Source organism: Homo sapiens, chromosome 14, assembly GCF_000001405.40.
Source record: "Homo sapiens chromosome 14, GRCh38.p14 Primary Assembly".
Classification (NCBI taxonomy): Eukaryota; Metazoa; Chordata; class Mammalia; order Primates; family Hominidae; genus Homo; species Homo sapiens.
In genome coordinates, this window is record NC_000014.9 from 76,740,465 (window position 1) to 76,761,434 (window position 20,970).

Below are 20,970 nucleotides of genomic sequence, written 5' to 3' on the forward strand. Positions count from 1 at the left end.
GATTTCTGGTAGTGTTGTATATCCTTTGTGCCTTTCTTTCTCTCTCATTTATTATTGTGGTTTGGTGGTTTGCTGTAGTAGTAATATTTTAGTTATTTTTCTCCTTTATTGGTATGTTTGATCTACCAGTAGGTTTTATACTTTCACGTGTCTTATTCATGATGATACCTATCATTTCACTTCCAGGTGTAGGACTCCGTCAAGCATTTCATTTCTTGTAGGGTCAATCTAGTGATGATTAATTCCCTCAGCTTTTGCTTGTCTGGGAAAGACTTTATTTCTGCTTGATTTATGAAGGATAACTTTGCTGGGTATAGTATCATACATTTGAATTTTTTTTTCTTTTATGAACTTTGGATGTATTATCCTATTCTCTCTTGGCCTATAAGGTTTCTGCTAAGAAATTTGTTGTTAGTCTGATGAGGGTTCTCTTATAAGTGACTAGAAGCTTTCCTCTTGCTGGTTTTAAAACTCTCTCCTTGTCTTTGAGTTTTGACAGTTTGATTGTAATGTGCCACAGAGAAGAACTTGTTGCATTTTATCTCCTTGGGGACCTCTGAGCTTCCTGTATCTGGATATCTAAATCTCTTGCTATACTTGAGAAGTTTTCAGGTATTATTTTTGTTAAATAGGTTTTCTATCCCTTTCATTTTCTCTTTACCTACTGGGACACTGAAAATTTAAATATTTGATCACTTTATGGTGTCCCATATGTCATGCATGCTTTGTTCATTCTTTTTTATTCTTTTTTTTAAAATTTTTGTCTGGGTTATTACAAAAGACCTATCTTCAGGTTCTGAAATTCTTTCTTCTGCTTAATCTAATGGATTGTTCAAGGTTTCTAATGTATTTTGTATTTTATTTAATGAATTCCTTAGTTCCAGAATTTCTGTTTGGTTATTTTTTTGATGTCTCCTTGGTAAATTTCTCATTCATATCCTGAACTGTTTTTCTGATTTCTTTGTACTGTTTTTCAGAATTATCTTGTATTTCACTCGGCTTCTTTAATATCATTAGTTTGAATTCTTTTTCCAGGATTCCATAAGTTTTTTTTTTTTTTTCTTCTTTGAGACAGAGGGCTTGCTCTACTTCCCAGGCTGAAGTGCAGTGGCATGATCTTGGCTAACAGAAACCTCTGCCTCCCAGTCTCAAGCAATACTCCTGTCTCAGCCTTTCAAGTAACTGGAACCACAGGTGTGCACCACCACATGCTGCTAATTTTTTGTAGAGACAAGGCTTCACCATGTTGCCCAGGCTAGTCTTGAACTCTTGAGCTCAAGCAATCTGCCTGCCTCAGCCTCCCAAAGTGCTGGAATTTTAGGCATGAGCCACAGCCCCTGGCCTAGGATTTCATAAATTTCTTTTTGATTGGAATTTGTTACTGGAGAACTATCATATTTCTTTAAAGGTGTCATATTTCCTTACTTTTTTTATGTATCTCAGGTCCTTAAGTTGATATCTGCCTATCTGGTATAACAGTCACTTTTTCAAATTTTTTGAATTTGTTTTGGTAGGGAAGATCTTTTTCCTGAAGATGTGTTCCTTGGGTAGGACATTTTGGCTTTGATTCTGGATACATGCAGTAGTATATTCTCCATGATTTATTTTTCTTTTGGCTATTAACAGCATCAGTGGTGTCTATGATTTCCTCAGTCACTTATGGTTCAGTTGTTAGTGGAGGCTATGGTAAAGTTTCCTGGAAATGGAGTCCCCAGGTGGGCCTCTCCATGGGCCAAGCATGCCTATCCTTAGACGTATGCTGCCACTACTATAAATGGGTCCAGGTAGGCCAATTCTTGGGCCTCCAGGTGATTTGCTCAGATGCCAGTAGCAGCAGCAGTGGGCCAGGTGGGTCAGCGGGCTCTTTTACCTGGTCATTGGGCATGATGTGGATGATGGCGGTAGCAGTGACAGGACAAACCTCTGGCCCCCAAGCAGTATGTGCTGGTGTTGGCAGTGGCTGCGATGGCTAGGCCAGTCCTTAGGCCTGCAGCAGTCTACACACTCTTGTGGGGCATCCAGAGGTTGCAATAAGCCAAGATCGCACCACTGCACTCCAGCCTGGGCAACAAAGCGAGACTCCATCTCAAAAAAAAAAAAGAGTTCTCCATCTGAGTTTTATCCAACAGCCACTAGATGACCTCGAGGAAAAAAAAAAAAAACACAGGATTCAATCAAAACACATGGACTTGATACAAAGACTTACTCAATCTATGAACTTCTGTCTTTATTTTTGTTTTTGTTTTGAGATAGAGTTTCACTCTTGTTGCCCAGGCTGGAGTGAATGGCACCATCTCGGCTCACTGCAACCTCCGCCTCCCGGGTTCAAGCGATTCTCCTGCCTCAGCCTCCCAAGTAGCTGGGATTACAAGCATGCGCCACCATACCTGGCTAATTTTTGTATTTTTAGTAGGAGACAGGGTTTCACCACGTTGGCCAGGCTGGTCTCAAACTCCTGACCTCAGGTAATCTGCCTGCCTTGGCCTCCCGTAGTGCTGGGATTACAGGCGTGAGCCACTACGCCCAGCCTGAAACTGCCACTTGAAAATTCTCCCATATCTTGACCAGCCCTCAGTGTGGGCTAAGACGCTGCTAAGCTTCTCTGCCTCCCTCCTATCTTCACAGGAATCCCCAGCTGCAGAACAGATGAAGGCGACACCTGGCTTCTTCCTGGGAATGGTTGCTGGCAATGGGACACTCTCACTTTCAGCTGCCTCTGAGTTTGAATGGTGACTCATACCCCCTGTCTGAGCCCAGCTTCACTTTCACCCTCCTCCACCTGCCAAGCCCTACCTGTCCGAGACACCACGGAGTTCTCATTTCCTTCCTCTTTCCACCAGTCTGAAGAAGAAAATGGCCAAGAATGAAGTCCTCAGGACATTAAGATGACGTAGAAAACACAAAAAGGAGAAAGACTTTGCTGTTATTTACCCCACATCATTCCATTAAAGTTTCTTGGATCTCTTCTTCATCCATGTAGCAATAACCCTGGGGGTGGGAACCAGCAATCCAAGTCCTCCAAATGATTTGGCGGTTCTTCAAGGATTATCTGACTCCATAAGGGTGGACATTTATGGTTGTCTTTCTATTGACTAGGCTATTTTATAACCCTATAAAGACGGAAGTTTAGTTACAGAAAAACTGACAATTATACAAATTATTCTTATCCATAGATATACAAATGAATTTTGTCTAGTAGAGATACATAGAGTTTTAGAAAAGATAACCCCACTCCAATTTATAGTATATGAACCAGTTTTTTGTCCATTGGCAAATTCAGCATTACTGGTTATATGTGTCTCTTTAAATTTACTCTTAACTGGATTTAACCATTTTCTGGCTCCCTCATTAATTAAGGAGCTAAATAAATAAAATCTACAACACAAGTTCATTTTATACTTGTATGACAGCCATAATTTTACTTCTTTGAAAATTATACTTTCACATAGCAATTCTCAGAGTGAAGTCCCAGACAGGCCACAGCATCACCTGGGAGCTTGTTAGAAACACAAGTTCTCGGCCACGTGCAGTGCCTCATGCCTGTAATCCCAGCACTTTGGGAGGCTGAGGTGGGTGAATCACGAGGTCAGGAGTTCGAGACCAGCCTGACCAACATGGTGAAACCCCATCTCTACTAAAAATACAAAAATTAGCTGGGTGTTGTGGCGGGAGCCTGTAATCCCAGCTACTCGGGAGGCTGAGGCAAGAGAATCACTTGAATCCGGGAGTTGGAAGCTGCAGTGAGCTGAGATTGTGCCACTGTACTCCAGCCTGGGCAACAGAGTGAGACTTCGTCTCAAAAAAAAAAAAAAGGTTGAGACTCGCCAAGATGGCCGAATAGGAACAGCTCCAGTCTACAGCTCTCAGCGTGAGTGACACAGAAGATGGATGATTTCTGCATTTCCAACTGAGGTACTAGGTTCATCTCACTGGGGATTGTTGGAAAGTGGGTGTAGGACAGTGGGTGCAGCGCACCGAGCATGAGCCGAAGCAGGGCGAGGCATCGCCTCACCCAGGAAGCACAAGGGGTCAGGGAATTCCCTTTCCTAGCCAAGGAAAGGGGTGACAGACAGCACCTGGAAAATTGGGTCACTCCCACCCTAATACTGCGCTTTTCCGATGGTCTTAGCAAACGGCACACCAGGAGATTATATGCTGTGCATGGCTCGGAGGGTCCCATGCCCACGGAGCCTCACTCATTGCTAGCACAGCAGTCTGAGATCAAACCACAAGGCGGCAGCAAGTCTTGGGGAGGGGCGCCCGCCATTGCTGAGGCTTGAGCAGGTAAACAAAGCAGCCCGGAAGCTCGAACTGGGTGGAGCCCACTGCAGCTCAAAGAGGCCTGCCTGCCTCTGTAGACTCCACCTCTGGGGGCAGGGCACAGCCAAACAAAAGGCAGCAGAAACCTCTGCAGACTTAAATGTCCCTGTCTGACAGCTTTGAAGAGAGTAGTGGTTCTCCCAGCACGCAGCTTGAGATCTGAGAACGGACAGACTGCCTCCTCAAGTGGGTCCCTGACCCCCGAGTAGCCTAACTGGGAGGCACCCCCCAGTAGGGGCAGACTGACACCTCACACGGCTGGGTACCCTCTGAGACAAAACTTCCAGAGGAACGATCAGGCAGCAACATTTGCTGTTCACCAGTATTCGCTGTTCTGCAGCCTCCGCTGCTGATACCCAGGCAAACAGGGTCTGGAGTGGACCTCTAGCAAACTCCAACAGACCTGCAGCTACATGTCCTGACTGTTAGAAGGAAAACTAACAAACAGAAAGGACATCCACACCAAAAACCCATCTGTATGTCACCATCATCAAAGACCAAAGGTAGATAAAACCACAAAGATGGGGAAAAAACAGAGCAGAAAAACTGAAAATTCTAAAAATCAGAGCGCCTCTCCTCCTCCAAAGGAACGCAGCTCCTCACCAGCAACGGAAAAAAGCTGGACGGAGAATGACTTTGACGAGTTGAGAGAAGAAGGCTTCAGATGATCAAACTTCTCTGAGCTAAAGGAGGAAGTTCGAACCCATGGCAAAGAAGTTAAAAACCTTGAGAGAAGATTAGATGAATGGCTAACTAGAATAATCAATGCAGAGAAGTCCTTAAAGGACCTGAAAACCATGGATGGAGCTGAAAACCATGGCACGAGAACTACGTGACAAATGCACAAGCTTCAGTAGCCTATTCAATCAACTGGAAGAAAGGGTATCAGTGATGGAAGATCAAATGAATGAAATGAAGTGAGAAGAGAAGTTTAGAGAAAAAAGAATAAAAAGAAATGAACAAAGCCTCCAAGAAATATGGAAGTATGTGAAAAGACCAAATCTACGTCTGATTGGTGTACCTGAAAGTGACGGGGAGAATGGAACCAAGTTGGAAAACACTCTGCAGGATATTATCCAGGAGAACTTCCCCAACCTAGGAAGGCAGGCCAATATTCAAATTCAGGAAATACAGAGAATGCCACAAAGATACTCCTCGAGAAGAGCAACTCCAAGACACATAATTGTCAGATTCACCAAACTTGAAATGAAGGAAAAATTGTTAAGGGCAGCCAGAGAGAAAGGTCGGGTTACCCATAAAGGGAAGCCCATCAGACTAATAGCTGATCTCTCGGCAGAAACTCTACAAGCCAGAAGAGAGTGGGGGCCAATATTCAACATTCTTAAAGAAAAGAATTTTTCAACCCAGAATTTCATATCCAGCCAAACTAAGCTTCATAAGTGAAGGAGAAATAAAATACTTTATAGACAAGCAAATGCTGAGAGATTTTGTCACCACCAGGCCTGCCCTACAAGAGCTCCTGAAGGAAGCACTAAACATGGAAAGGAACAACTGGTACCAGCCACTGCAAAAACATGCCAAATTGTAAAGACCATTGAGGCTAGGAAGAAACTGCATCAACTAACGAGCAAAATAACCAGCTAACATCATAATGACAGGATCAAAATCACACATAACAATATTAACCTTAAATGTAAATGGGCTAAATGCTCCAATTAAAAGACACAGACTGGCAAACTGGATAAAGAGTCAAGACCCATCAGTGTGCTGTATTCAGGAAACCCATCTCACATGCAGAGACACACATAGGCTCAAAATAAAGGGAGGGAGGAAGATCTACCAAGCAACTGGAAAACAAAAAAAGGCAGGGGTTCCAACCTTAGTCTCTGATAAAACAGACTTTAAACCAACAAGGATCAAAAGAGACAAAGAAGGCCATTACATAATGGTAAAGGAATCAATTCAACAAGAAGAGCCAACTATCCTAAATATATATGCACCCAATACAGGAGCACCCAGATTCATAAAGCAAGTCCTCAGAGACCTACAAAGAGACTTAGACTCCCACACAATAATAATGGGAGACTTTAACACCCCACTGTCAACATTAGACAGGTCAACGAGACAGAAAGTTAACAAGGATATCCAGGAATTGAACTCAGCTCTGCACCAAGCAGACCTAATAGACATCTACAGAACTCTCCACCCCAAATCAACAGAATATACATTCTTCTCAGCACCACACCACACCTATTCCAAAATTGACCACATAGTTGGAAGTAAAGCACTCCTCAGCAAATGTAAAAGAACAGAAATTATAACAAACTGTCTCTCAGACCACAGTGCAATCAAACTAGAACTCAGGATTAAGAAAGTCACTCAAAACTGCTCAACTACATGGAAACTGAACAACCTGCTCCTGAATGACTACTGGATACATAACAAAAAGAAGGCAGAAATAAAGATGTTCTTTGAAACCAACGAGAACAAAGACACAACATACCAGAATCTCTGGGATACATTTAAAGCAGTGTGTAGAGGGAAATTTATAGCACTAAATGCCCACAAGAGAAAGCCAGAAAGATCTAAAATTGACACCCTAACATCACAATTAAAAGAACTAGAGAAGCAAGAACAAACACATTCAAAAGCTAGCAGAAGGCGAGAAATAACTAACATCAGAGCAGAACTGAAGGAGATAGAGACACAAAAAACCCTTCAAAAAATCAGTAAATCCAGGAGCTGGTTTTTGGAAAAGATCAACAAAATTGATAGACCGCTAGCAAGACTAATAAAGAAGAAAAGAGAAGAATCAAATAGACACAATAAAAAATGATAAAGGGGATATCACCACTGATCCCACAGAAATACAAACTACCTTCAGAGAATACTATAAACACCTCTATGCAAATAAACTGGAAAATCTAGAAGAAATGGATAAATTCCTCGACACATACACTCTCCCGAGACTAAACCAGGAAGAAGTTGAATCTCTGAATAGAACAATAACAGGCTCTGAAATTGAGGCAATAATTAATAGCTTACCAACCAAAAAAAGTCCAGGACCAGACGGACTCACAGCCGAATTCTACCAGAGGTACAGGGAGGAGCTGGTACCATTCGTTCTGAAACTATTCCAATCAATAGAAAAAGAGGGAATCCTCCCTAACTCATTTTATGAGGCCAGCATCATCCTGATACCAAAGCCTGGCAGAGACACAACAAAAAAAGAGAATTTTAAACCAATATCCCTGATGAACACTGATGCAAAAATCCTCAATAAAATACTGGCAAACTGAATCCAGCAACACATCAAAAAGCTTATGCACCATGATCAAGTGGGCTTCATCCCTGGGATGCAAGGCTGGTTCAACATACGCAAATCAATAAACATAATCCAGCATATAAACAGAACCAAAGACAAAAACCACACGATTATCTCAATAGATGCAGAAAAGGCCTTTGACAAAATTCAACAGCCCTTCATGCTAAAAACTCTCAATAAATTAGGTATTGATGGGACGTATCTCAAAATGATAAGAGCTATTTATGACAAACCCACAGCCAATATCATACTGAATGGGTAAAAGCTGGAAGCATTCCCTTTGAAAACTGGGCACAAGACAGGGATGCCCTCTCTCACCACTCCTATTCAACACAGTGTTGGAAGTTCTGGCCAGGGCAATCAGGCAAGAGAAGGAAATAAAGGGTATTCAATTAGGAAAAGAGGAAGTCAAATTGTCCCTGTTCGCAGATGACATGTTTGTATATCTAGAAAACCCCATCGTCTCAGCCCCAAATCTCCTTAAGCTGATAAGCAACTTCAGCAAAGTCTCAGGATACAAAATCAATGTGCAAAAATCACAAGCATTCTTATACACCAATAACAGACAAACAGCCAAATCATGAGTGAACTCCCATTCACAATTGCTTCAAAGAGAATAAAATACCTAGGAATCCAACTTACAAGGGATGTGAAGGACCTCTTCAAGGAGAGCTACAAACCACTGCTCAACGTAATAAAAGAGGATACAAACAAATGGAAAAACATTCCATGCTCCTGGGTAGGAAGAATCAATATCATGAAAATGGCCATACTGCCCAAGGTAATTTATAGATTCAATGCCATCCCCATCAAGCTACCAGTGACTTTCTTCACAGAATTGGAAAAAACTACTTTAAAGTTCATGTGGAACCAAAAAAGAGCCTGCATTGCCAAGTCAATCCTAAGCCGAAAGAACAAAGCTGGAGGCATCACACTACCTGACTTCAAACTATACTACAAGGCTACAGTAACCAAAACAGCATGGTACTGGTACCAAAACAGAGATATAGACCAATGGAACAGAACAGAGCCCTAGAAATAATGCCGCATATCTACAACTATCTGATCTTTGACAAACCTGACAAAAACAAGAAATGGGGAAAGGATTCCCTATTTAATAAATGGTGCTGGGAAAACTGGCTAGCCATATGCAGAAAGCTGAAACTGGATCCCTTCCCTACACCTTATACAAAAATTAATTCAAGATGGATTAAAGACTTAAATGTTAGACCTAAAAACCATAAAAACCCTAGAAGAAAACCTTGGCAATACCATTCAGGACAGAGGCATGGGCAAGGACTTCATGTCTAAAACACCAAAAGCAATGGCAACACAAGCCAAAACTGAAAAATGGGATCTAATTAAACTAAAGAGCTTCTGCACAGCAAAAGAAACGACCATCAGAGTGAACAGGCAACATACAGAATGGCAGAAAATGTTTGCAATCTACTCATCTGACAAAGGGCTAATATCCAGAATCTACAAAGAACTCAAGCTCTCCCTATCCCTCTCCCTCTCCTTCTCCCCATGGTCTCCCTCTCCCCATGGTCTCCCTCTCCCCATGGTCTCCCTCTCCCTCTCTTTCCACGGTCTCCCTCTCATGCCGAGCCGAAGCTGGACTATACTGCTGCCATCTCGGCTCACTGCAACCTCCCTGCCTGATTCTCCTGCCTCAGCCTGCGGAGTGCCTGCAATTGCAGGCGCGCACCGCCACGCCTGACTGGTTTTCGTATTTTTTTGGTGGAGACGGGGTTTCGCTGTGTTGGCCGGGCTGGTCTCCAGCTCCTAACCGCGAGTGATCCGCCAGCCTTGGCCTCCCGAGGTGCCGGGATTGCAGACAGAGTCTGGTTCACTCAGTGCTCAATGGCGCCCAGGCTGGAGTGCAGTGGTGTGATCTCGGCTCGCTACAACCTCCACCTCCCAGCCGCCTGCCTTGGCCTCCCAAAGTGCCGAGATTGCAGCCTCTGCCCGGCTGCCACCCCGTCTGGGAAGTGAGGAGCGTCTCTGCCTGGCCGCCCATCGTCTGGGATGTGAGGAGCCCCTCTGCCTGGCTGCCCAGTCTGGAAAGTGAGGAGCGTCTCTGCCCGGCCGCCATCCCATCTGGGAAGTGAGGAGCACCTCTTCCCGGCCGCCATCACATCTAGGAAGTGAGGAGCGTCTCTGCCCGGCCGCCCATCGTCTGGGATGTGGGGAGCGCCTCTGCCCCGCCGCCCCGTCTGGGATGTGAGGAGCGCCTCTGCCCAGCCGCCACCCCGTCTGGGAGGTGAGGAGCGTCTCTGCCCGGCCGCCCCGTCTGAGAAGTGAGGAGACCCTCCGCCCGGCAGCCGCCCCGTATGAGAAGTGAGGAGCCTCTCCGCCCGGCAGCCGCCCCGTCTGAGAAGTGAGGAGCCTCTCCGCCCGGCAGCCACCCCGTCTGGGAAGTGAGGAGCATCTCCGCCTGGCAGCCACCCCGTCCGGAAGGGAGGTGGGGGGGGGTCAGCACCAGCCAGGCCAGCCGCGACGTCCGGGATCAGCCCCCCGCCAGGCCAGCCGCCCCGTCCGGGAGGGAGGTGGGGGGGTCAGCCCCCCGCCCGGCCAGCCGCCCCGTCCGGGAGGTGAGGGGCACCTCTGCCCGGCCGCCCCTACTGGGAAGTGAGGAACCCCTCTGCCCAGCCAGCCGCCCTGTCCGGGAGGGAGGTGGGGGGGTCAGCCCCCCGCCCGGACAGCCGCCCTGTCTGGGAGGTGAGGGGCACCTCTGCCCGGCCGCCCCTACTGGGAAGTGAGGAGCCCCTCTGCCCGGCCACCACCCCGTCTGGGAGGTGTGCCCAACAGCTCATTGAGAACGGGCCAGGATGACAATGGCGGTTTTGTGGAATAGAAAGGCAGGAAAGGTGGGGAAAAGATTGAGAAATCGGATGGTTGCCGTGTCTGTGTAGAAAGAAGTAGACATGGGAGACTTTTCATTTTGTTCTGTACTAAGAAAAATTCTTCTGCCTTGGGATCCTGTTGATCTGTGACCTTACCCCCAACCCTGTGCTCTCTGAAACATGTGCTGTGTCCACTCAGAGTTAAATGGATTAAGGGCGGTGCAAGATGTGCTTTGTTAAACAGATGCTTGAAGGCAGCATGCTCATTAAGAGTCATCACCACTCCCTAATCTCAAGTACCCAGCGACACAAACGCTGCGGAAGGCCGCAGGGTCCTCTGCCTAGGAAAACCAGAGACCTTTGTTCACTTGTTTATCTGCTGACCTTCCCTCCACTATTGTCCTATGACCCTGCCAAATCCCCCTCTGTGAGAACACCCAAGAATGATCAATAAAAAAATAAAATAAAATAAAATAAAAAGAACTCAAACAAATTTACAAGAAAAAAACAAACAACCCCATCAACAAGCAGGCGAAGGATATGAACAGACATTTCTCAAAAGAAGACATTTATGCAGCCAAAAGACAACATGAAAAAATGCTCATCATCACTGGCCATCAGAGAAATGCAAATCAAAACCACAATGAGATACCATCTCACACCAGTTAGAATGGCAATAATTAAAAAGTCAGGAAACAACAGGTGCTGGAGAGGATGTGGAGAAATAGGACCACTTTTACGCTGCTGGTGGGACTGTAAACTAGTTCAACCATTGTGGAAGTCAGTGTGGCGATTCCTCAGGGATCTAGAACTAGAAATACCATTTGACCCAGACATCCCATTACTGGGTATATACCCAAAGGATTATAAATCATGCTGCTATAAAGACACAAGCACTCGTATGTTTATTGCGGCACTATTCACAATAGCAAAGACTTGGAACCAACCCAAATGTCCAACTATGATAGACTGGATTAAGAAAATGTGGCACATATACACCATGGAATACTATGCAGCCATAAAAAATGATGAGTTCATGTCCTTTGTAGGGACATGGATGAAGCTGGAAACCATCATTCTCAGCGAACTATCGCAAGGACAAAAAACCAAACACCGCATGTTCTCACTCATAGGTGGGAATTGAACAATGAGAACACTTGGACACAGGAAGGGGAATATCACACACCGGGGCCTGTTGTGGGGTCGGGGGAGCGGGGGAGGGATGGCATTAGGAGATATACCTAATGTAAATGACAAGTTAATGGGTGCAGCACACCAACATGGTACATGTATACATATGTAACAAACCTGCACATTGTGCACATGTACCCTAAAACTTAAAGTATAAAAAAAAAAGAAAAGAAATGCAGGTTCTCAGACCTCGCCCAAATCTGCTGAGTAGGAAACTCTAGAGGCAGGGTCCAGCCATCTGTGCTGTAAGGAGCCCCCCAGGTTCTTCTGAGGCACACTCAGGTTTGAGAAGCCCTGCTTTATCCAACCCAGCAAACACTAACAAGATGCTACTTTAGTCCCGACTCAAGAAAATTTGGAACCTGACCATCTTTGTTGTCCCTAACCCAGCCTGCCTGTGATGGATGTAAACAGGCCACCCTTCTCTCTCATCTCCAGGGACTACCTCAGTGGTCCCATCACTTTTTCCCTGTCTTTCCCCACAGCAATAAGGGAGTGAACAAGAGTGTTCTGTGAGCTGGACAGAACAGGAATGTCAACGTTTCCTCCAGGGGGTTCGCCTAGGGCCTGTTTGCACCTGCAGGTCTGACCCTGTGGAGCTAAACCCCCTACAAGCTTCATAACTAATGTTCCCAAAGCAGGGAGCATCTGGCCACGACCCCAGAGAGAAGGGATGAGGACAGAGGTAAAAACAATCTCAGGACCCAGCCTCGGATGTTATGTTTCTTCGCTCCTCCTGCAGTAATAGAGCATTATTTCCCTGCTGGCAGATGCAGAATCACAAGCTGATTGTGCACTGGGCTGGAGTGCATATGCCACCCATTTGTCTTGCAGTCTGGCTGGGCGCTCTGCCCTGCTCATGGGAAGCCTTCTCTCATTGCTGAATGCCAAGCAGGCTGGATAATCACCCCTCAACGGGGAGAGGATCCACCAGAAACATGTCTTCCCTTTCCCAGCACAACTGATGGGTAGGAAGGGCACTCTCGCCCCCCTTCACCCCACCCCCACCAAGCCAGCTGGAGCTGGCTGCTGCCTATGTTCTCCTGTGAGCATATCACAGGGGTACATAGAGCCCTGTGGGCAGCACGATGGGGAAAGGGCATTCTTGGGAGGCAACAGAGCACAGTGGTGAAGAGAGGAGGCTCAGCAAGGTCTGGGTTCAAGTCCTGCCTCCTCCCCTACTTAGCAGGGTTGTGAATTGGGCACGTTTCTTCCCTCTCCTAACCTTCATTTCCTCCAGAATGGGGATGATAAGGACACCTTTCCTCTAGGGGTGCTATGCAAAGCCCTTAACACAGAGTTAACCCCCAAATGAGTGTCTGTAGTTGGTGGCAGCTGTTGATGATAAAATAGATACCCTAAAAAGCCCCCTGGAAGGAGAGTAGATGAAGGACAGAAAATAGGCATTAAACACAGGCTGAACACAAAGGCCACAGAGGAGCTGGGTACTGAGGAAACTTGCAATGGATGAGAAGCCCCCAGCCTGCACTGCAGCCTGCTAGCAACTGTATGTCGCTGTAATTTGCTTTGTAAGTTGATGCACTCAACCACAGGACAAATGCAAAGACCAAATTGGAAAATCTAAGTGGACACCCTTTGTCAAATGGAAAAACATGAGACGAATGAGTGTTTTCTTCCCTTTTTTGTTTGCGAAATCCTTGTCTACAAAATCTTTATAAGCCTAGGTTGAAGACCCTTTCTTACCTAAAACCAGTGGTTCCCAAGTGGGAGTGAGTGTCACAATGGGAAAGGTTGCCACTGGCATCTAGTGAGTACAGGGCCTGAATGCCACTAGCCGTCCTACAGTGCACAGGACAGGCCCCACAACAAAGAAGTGTGCAGCTTTAAATATCAACAGTGCTTAAAGCCAAACACGGTTGCCTAGATTAGAACAAATCACTCACTCTGTGCTCCTCAAACACCTTGTTGAAGCCTGGTTTGGAGCATTGGCCTGAGTCTGCCACATCTTGTGGTTAGCTGGTGGCCTCCTGGTACCGCAGAAAGGGCACAGCTTCTGAACGTGCTCAGCCACTCACTGGCCATGACAGAGGAACAGTTGTTTAGCTTCTCTCAGGCCATTTCCTCATCTAAAAAATGGAAAGTAGAATCCCCATTTGCAGGATTATGGTAAGGATTACATAAATGTAGAGCCCCTGGCCCATGGTAAGGGTTCAAAAAGTTATTGGGATGTGTCATCTTCGACGCAACCTCAGGGGGCCATAGCAATGTCTTACGTATCTGCATCTCCTGCAGCAAATTATGCTACACCATGCATATAGTATAAGCACTCAGAAACTGTTGTCGAATTAAAGTGAAGTCTCCCTTGAGAACCAAGCCTCAAGAAATAAACCCAGCCCACCTCATGGACCTACAGACTTGCATCTTGTAAATGGTTTTGATCTAGTCTTCAGGATGTACCAGCATCTCAGAACTCCCTCTGTTTCTCCCTGTCTCCAAGTCTGGGTCCTATCCATTGAACAGGGAGGCTGAGATCAGACTTTGATTCTTTCGGGGACACCCAGAGCCTTGACCACAGTTTGAGAGAAACTACCACAGCCTGGCCATTCCTGCCTGACTCAATCGCCGATCGCTCCCCGACTATCCAAACACCTGCCACAGTGCATGGAGAAAAACGCTGGGGGAAATACCATGTTTTCTAACAATGGGAGGGATACAAGTCTGGATGAGTGTGATTTGCCTGGAAAAGAGAGTGGCCATCACCCAGTCCTTCAAGTTGAAGACAGCTTTTCTAAATACACACCCCATCCACAGCCACCCATTGACACACACAGCTTGGCCACACCCTGAAACAAACGTGGGAAGACCTTCTCTCTCCCTTAATGTGGAAGACCTTCTCTCTCCCTTAATGTGGGAAGACCTTCTCTCTCCCTTTTGCCACTGCAGTGCTTTCAAGGGCTCACCTACTACCAGCTTCTTCCCTGCTAGTGGACACATCAGGGAAGGCAGACTGGGCCAGGAATCAGGAGAGCCCTGAGTTCAAGTGTAATCCCACCACCAGCTGGCTGTGTAATCCTAAATCCTGTCACTTCTCTGAGCCTCAGTATTTTATCTATGAAATGAGAGTTAGACAAGAAAATCTTGAAGGGTCTTTCGAGCTGTGCTCTACTGCACTCTTTTTTTTTTTTTTTTTTTTTTTTTTTTTTTGAGACAGAGTCTCGCTCAGTCACCCAGGCTGGAGTGCAGTGGTGCCATCTCGGCTCACTGCAAGCTCCGCCTCCCAGGTTCACGCCATTCTCCTGCCTCAGCCTCCTGAGTAGCTGGGACTACAGGCGCCCACCACCACACCCGGCTAATTTTTTGTATTTTTAGTAGAGATGGGGTTTCACTGTGTTAGCCAGGATGGTCTCGATCTCCTGACCTCGTGATCCACCCGCCTCGGCCTCCCAAAGTGCTGAGATTACAAGCGTGAGCCACCACGCCCGGCCTACTCTGCACTCTTTCTACCAGCAGTCGTGGCTTTGCTCCCACATGGACCTGCTGAATGAGATGCAGACAAGCCCTGATCCATTCTAAGACCAGCCCTTGCTGCTTGTCAAGGCCTGGATCTCCTACTACTGTATAAGGTGGCCCCCAGAGAATGGCAGGGGTGAGATCTCTCTGTTAGAGTTCTTTGGAATGGACACAATGAGTCCTGGCCCTTCCGAGCCCCTGGAGGCCACACCAGGCTGCCCGGGAAGTATCAGGCAGAGATCAGATTGCAAAGATACATGGCAACACAGCCACTCTGCCAGCCCACGGGAATCCAGGCCAAGAATAGATAATGCTTATACCAAGCATGCATCATCATTGCTAGGTGTCTTAGAACTAACTGCTTCAGGCGCCACATTGCTCTTAGCTGCTTCTTCCAAATCCCTCAATAAAAGGAATCCAGGCATAACCATCAACAAAAAGAACTCAACTCCAAATCTGCTCATCTGTCTTATCCCCAAGTCTCCCTTTCCTCCAGGCCCCTAGTACTGTCACTGAGCTCAGGTAACAATTGTCCGGATCATGTCTGGAGCTTCACCAGCACAAAGCTTTCTTTCCTATGTGAAGCCAGAGTAGAATGCTGCCATCTGCCAGCTGCCCCACGCTCTCGGCTGTGGGGTAGCTGCAGAGCGGTGTAGGGGAAAAAACATGAACTCTGAAATTATCATATCAGCTGTGCCACCCTGAACAAATTACAATCCTCAATGGCTCTGAATCTCAGTTTGCCCACTTGTAAACTGATGTCAGCAATACCTACCCTGCGAGATTGACCTGGGAATTAAATGAAACTCTGCAGGTAAAGCACCGGACCTACACTCGGGGCTCAGTGAAGAGGAGCTATTTTTATAGACTTTCACTCACTTGGCTGAGTAATTCAGTTCCAGAAACAAAACGGACAGTTTGAGAAAGCAGTGATTTAAAATGAATCCCAAGCCAGAGGTCCTTTTGGCACTTTACCTGAAGTGAACTGGATTCTGTTTGGATTAAGGAAAAACAGACTTGTTCTCTAAGAATTTAGCAGTCAATTCAGACAGATGCCAAATCCATGAAAAACTCTCTGATTTTGTCACGCAAACCCCAGAGCGGAAGTCAGACCCAGGCAGATTCAGGTTTTCAGGTGACCTGAAGCAAATCGTTTCACTGGCCAGTCTAGATCTCAGTGGTTCCAAGCCCAGCTACCATTCGCATTACCTGGAGATCTTTTCTAGACTATGGGTACCAAGCCCCACTCCAAACCAGTTTCATCAGGATTTCTGCAGGGTGCAGACTGAGGATCAAGAATTTTAAGAGCCCCTGGGGTGATCCTAATGTAAGCTCCACTGGACCAGAAGTGCTCCAAGATCCTCGCCAGGTATCCCTGGTGCCTACAACCATGTATGATTCAGAGTAGATATTTAGTATATGTTTATTGAGTAAATGAATGAAGATTCTGACTCAACTTTTTGCTGTTTTCATGTTCATAATTTATGAGGTAAAAGAAGAAAAGAAAAGGAGTTTAATCCCAAGAAAGAATCACAGAGCAGAGCTGTCCAATAGAAATTTCTGCAATGGGCCAGGCGCAGTGGCTCACGCCTGTAATCCCAGCACTTTGGGAGGTTGAGGGGGGTGAATCACGAGGTCAGGAGTTCAAGACCAGCCTGGCCAATATGGTAAAATCCTGTCTGTACTAAAAATTACAAAAAATTAGCTGGGCACAGTGGCAAGCGCCTGTAATCCCAGCTACTGGGGAGGCTGAGGCAGGAGAATTGCTTGAACTCAAGCGGCAGGGGTTGCAGTGAGCCGAGATTGCATCACTGCACCACAGCCTAGGCGACAGGGTGAGACTCCATCTCAAAAAAAAAAAAAAAGAAAAGAAAAAGAAAAGAAATTTCTGCAGTGATGGACATGTTCTATAATCTGTACTATTCATTACAGTATCTATGAGCCATAATGGCTACTGAGTACTTGAAATATGGCTAGCGTGATTGGAGAAACTGAACTTTTAATTCTATTTAATGTTAATTAAATTCAAATTTAAATAGACACATATGACTTCTGGCTACCATACTGAACTTCTGGCTACCATTGCAGAAATTTCTTTTCTTTTTTTTTTTGAGATGGAGTCTCACCCTATCACCTAGGCTGTGGTGCAGTGATGCAATCTCGGCTCACTGCAACCCCTGCCACTTGAGTTCAAGCAATTCTCCTGCCTCAGCCTCCCCAGTAGCTGGGATTACAGGTGCTTGCCACTGCGCCCAGCTATTTTTTTGTAGTTTTTAGTACAGACAGGATTTTGCCATATTGGCCAGGCTGGTCTTGAACTCCTGACCTCGTGATTCACCCCCCTCAGCCTCCCAAAGTGCTGGGATTACAGGCATGAGCCACTGCGCCTGGCCCATTGCAGAAATTTCTATTGGACAGTTCTGCTCTGTGATTCTTTCTTGGGATTAAACTCCTTTTCTTTTCTTCTTTTACCTCATAAATTATGAACATGAAAACAGCAAAAAGTTGAGTCAGAACATCTACCTTTTATAAACACATCTATACCTGTGTGCCTCCATGCCCCTCTTTTACTAACAGCACCCCATTTACCTTTAGGGCAGTCCTTCTCCCCCAACCACCTGTAGTCTTGGCTAATGAAATTGCCCCATCCTCCTCTAGCCAAGGATCCAAGCTAAGTCAACAGACTCTTCTCTCTGGAAATTTCACTCTAGCTTCTGTGTCACAAGAATAGAAAATGTGTCAGAGCAGATTAATATGAGTGTTGATGCCCTAAGACAACATGCGTTCATTTGCAGACCATTAGTCCAGAGTGTGACGATAACAAATGTGACACATGATATGAGTTAGGCGTCATTATCGTCATCCTTGTCATCATGAAAGTGACTTGTACCCAGCAGCTCAGATGTGCCTGCTCCTGTACTAGGTATGTAATTTGCCTAGCTTCTCTTATGCATCCTTTCTTCATCTGTAAAATGGAAATCATACTCATCCTAACTCTTCCACGGTTTTTGTGAAGACAGCAAAAGGAATAATTGTCATGAGGGCCGGGCGCGGTGGCTCACGCCTGTAAGCCCAGCAATTTGGGAGGCCGAAGCAGACAGATCACTTGAGGTCAGGAGTTGGAGACCAGCCTGGCCAACATGGTGAAACCCCATCTCTACTAAAAATACAAAAATTAGACAGACATGGTGGCAGGCACCTATAATTCCAGCTACTCAGGAAACTGAGGCAGAGAATCACTTGAACCTGGGAGGCAGAGGCTGCAGTGAGCAGAGATCGAGCCACTGCACTCCAGCCTGGGTGACAGACCGAGACTCTGTCTCAGGGGAAAAAAAAAAAAAAGAAAAAAAAGAAAAATAACGGTCACGAAAGCTTTGAGCCAAATAAGGAGTTACCCAAGTGTCTGTTGGAGGAGTTGTTCCCAAGGCATAGGTGTGGGGAGTCATGGGAGGGCTTGATGAAGGACCCAGGATCTGAGACCAATTCAAAAGTTGTGCCATACCAGGTTAAGTCACTTGTTCTCTCTGGGCTTTTGGCTTAGATAAGACTGGGTTATACACATCTCTTTCCAGTTTCACCATTTTCTAATCTATTTGCAAGCCCCCTTGCCTGACACATACCCTCTTCCACTTCTATGCACACATGCCAGAAAATTCTCTAGCCTAGTCCATGCTGACCTTGTACCCAACTCATTTCTTCTTTTCCCAGCTCCTCACCTGATTGGGAAGTTGCTCTGGGTATGCACTCCCACAGCTTCCTGAATAACCCTCTGGCAGAGCACCTTATGGAAATCATGCTTAACTATCTCCTCCACTAGTAGGCCATAAGTCCAACTAGAGCAAAGGCCATGTCCCTCTTGTTCACTACTGCTTCTCCAGTGCCCAGTACAGAGTCAAACACATAGAAGATGTTCTATGAGTACTTACTCTTTGAATGAATACCCTACATCTATTTTATTTGTCATTTCAGAAAACACATGGTATTATCTCATGCTGCGTAACAAGTTAGTCCAAAACTTAGCAGCTTAAAACGAGAATAGTCACTTATCCTCTCTCAATTTCTGTGGGACAGAAAGTCAGACAGGGCACAGCAGGGCTGGTTGTTCTCTGCTCCATGTCTGGGACCTCAACTCTAAGACTTAAAGGCCGAGGGCTGGCAAGACCTGAAGTCTCGGTTTGCCATGATCTGGTGATTGACTCTGGCTGTTGGCTGAGAGCCCAGCAGCAGCTGTCAGCGAGAACACCCTCATGTGGCCTCACCATGTGGCTTGGGCTTCTTCACAACATGGTAGCTGGTTTCTTCTGAGGAACCAAGAAGAAGCTGTCTCCTTTTTATGGCCTGGTCTTAAGAGTCATACAGCTTCACTTTCATCACACTTTATTCATTAGACACCAGTCACCAAGTACATCCCACATTCAGGGGGAAAGGAATTAGATCCCATCTTTTGAAAAGAATGGTCAAGAGCTTGCAAGCCAATTTTAAAACCAGCACCACTTGGCTAACACAAGAAGCAATGTATAGAGTGAAAAACAAGTGTCTGAAGAAGTAAGACTTCTGTTCACATTCTAGCTCTGCCACTTACTAGCTGTGTGAGTTTGGGGAAATTACCCTCTGAGACTTGGTTTATACAATACAGGGTGATAGTTGTTGATCCCTAGTGATTTTTCTACGCTTGGAGTCTTCTTGCCTTAGTGAGTTTAAGAAGATCCAGGCTGAACTAACTTTCTTGGAGTCTTGCAATCCTTCCCATCACTGATAACCCTTGGTTTCTGACCCTGGAGGTAGTAAGAGGTTGCTACGGGAGCACAGGGTACCCAGAAAGTTCAGATACTAGGGACAGCTTTAGAGAACAGATGTGAAACCACTGAGGCCCTGGGGTCTCTCTAAGGCCTTTAACCCAGCCCTTGTGTAGTAACCTCAGCTTGTCAAGAAATGCAACGACCCCACAACTAAGGAATCTGAATCTGCCGGCTAAGGCCAAGGAATCTGCATTCTCCCACAAGACTGTGATTCATGCTAACTACAGGCAGGGGAGAGGGGGAGCATCTTAAAGCACACACTCGGCCGTCTCTTCCTAAAGTTCTTGGCTTCAGCCTAGAGATAGTGCCTTTCCCACCATTTACAACTCTATGGCATGAGGGAGGCGGAGGGTGCGTCCAGTGTCCAACCACGCACCACAGCTGGTTGTACTTTCACCTTCCTCTAGGCCAGCGGACCCTCCCCAAGCATTGCCTCCCACGCCCACGTCGCGGTCCCACCCTGGTCCGCGGGGTCCAGAGCGTCCAAAGCCCGGTCTAGGCAGATGGTCTAGGGGTGAGCTCTGCGCACCCCATTCCCACCAGTGCAGGCAATCGAATAAAACAGGGTGACTTTTAACCCTTTTCGTTTCCAGAGATAGTGACCCCCCGTCTCAATCCCTAGATGTCCTCCTCTAAGAACTGTGCGCGCTGGGAGGGACTCTGCGCTCACTCACTGTGACCACCTCGGCTGGGATATGGGGAAACTGAGGCCTACAGAGGGAAGGGAACTGCTGAACGTCCCAAAGCAACACAGGCACTGAATCCGGTCTAGAATCCCAGTCTTCCAGGCCAGTGCTCTCGGTCCTACCGGCTCAGGGCCCCTGCGAAGAATCTTTTTCAAGAAATTCCCGACCGCAGGAATTCCTTCTGCGCTAGGAATCTCCATGGAGTTTGCGCTCCCTCTGGCACGTTGAAAACGTCCTCCGCAGCTTCGCACCGGCTTCGCGGCGCCCTGACAGCTGGGTGAGGAGGGAGCGAATGCCCACCGGCGTCCTTGGGGTAACTTGGGACAGAGGCACCGCCGCGGGGGGCGGAGGACTGGGCGCGAAGGCGCTGG

General features: G+C 46.5%; 2 annotated features.

The window, feature by feature from the left end:
• Positions 2,668-2,868: a silencer, noted in NCBI's record as "peak2205 fragment used in MPRA reporter construct". NCBI's record gives its function as "represses an SCP1 promoter by STARR-seq MPRAs in K562 erythroleukemia cells {active_cell/tissue: K562}" and the evidence as "EXISTENCE:reporter gene assay evidence [ECO:0000049][PMID:32103011]".
• Positions 10,404-10,963: an enhancer, noted in NCBI's record as "NANOG-H3K27ac hESC enhancer chr14:77217211-77217770 (GRCh37/hg19 assembly coordinates)". NCBI's record gives its function as "activates a minimal SCP1, AML or CMV promoter by ChIP-STARR-seq in naive H9 embryonic stem cells {active_cell/tissue: H9 hESC(naive)}" and the evidence as "EXISTENCE:reporter gene assay evidence [ECO:0000049][PMID:30033119]".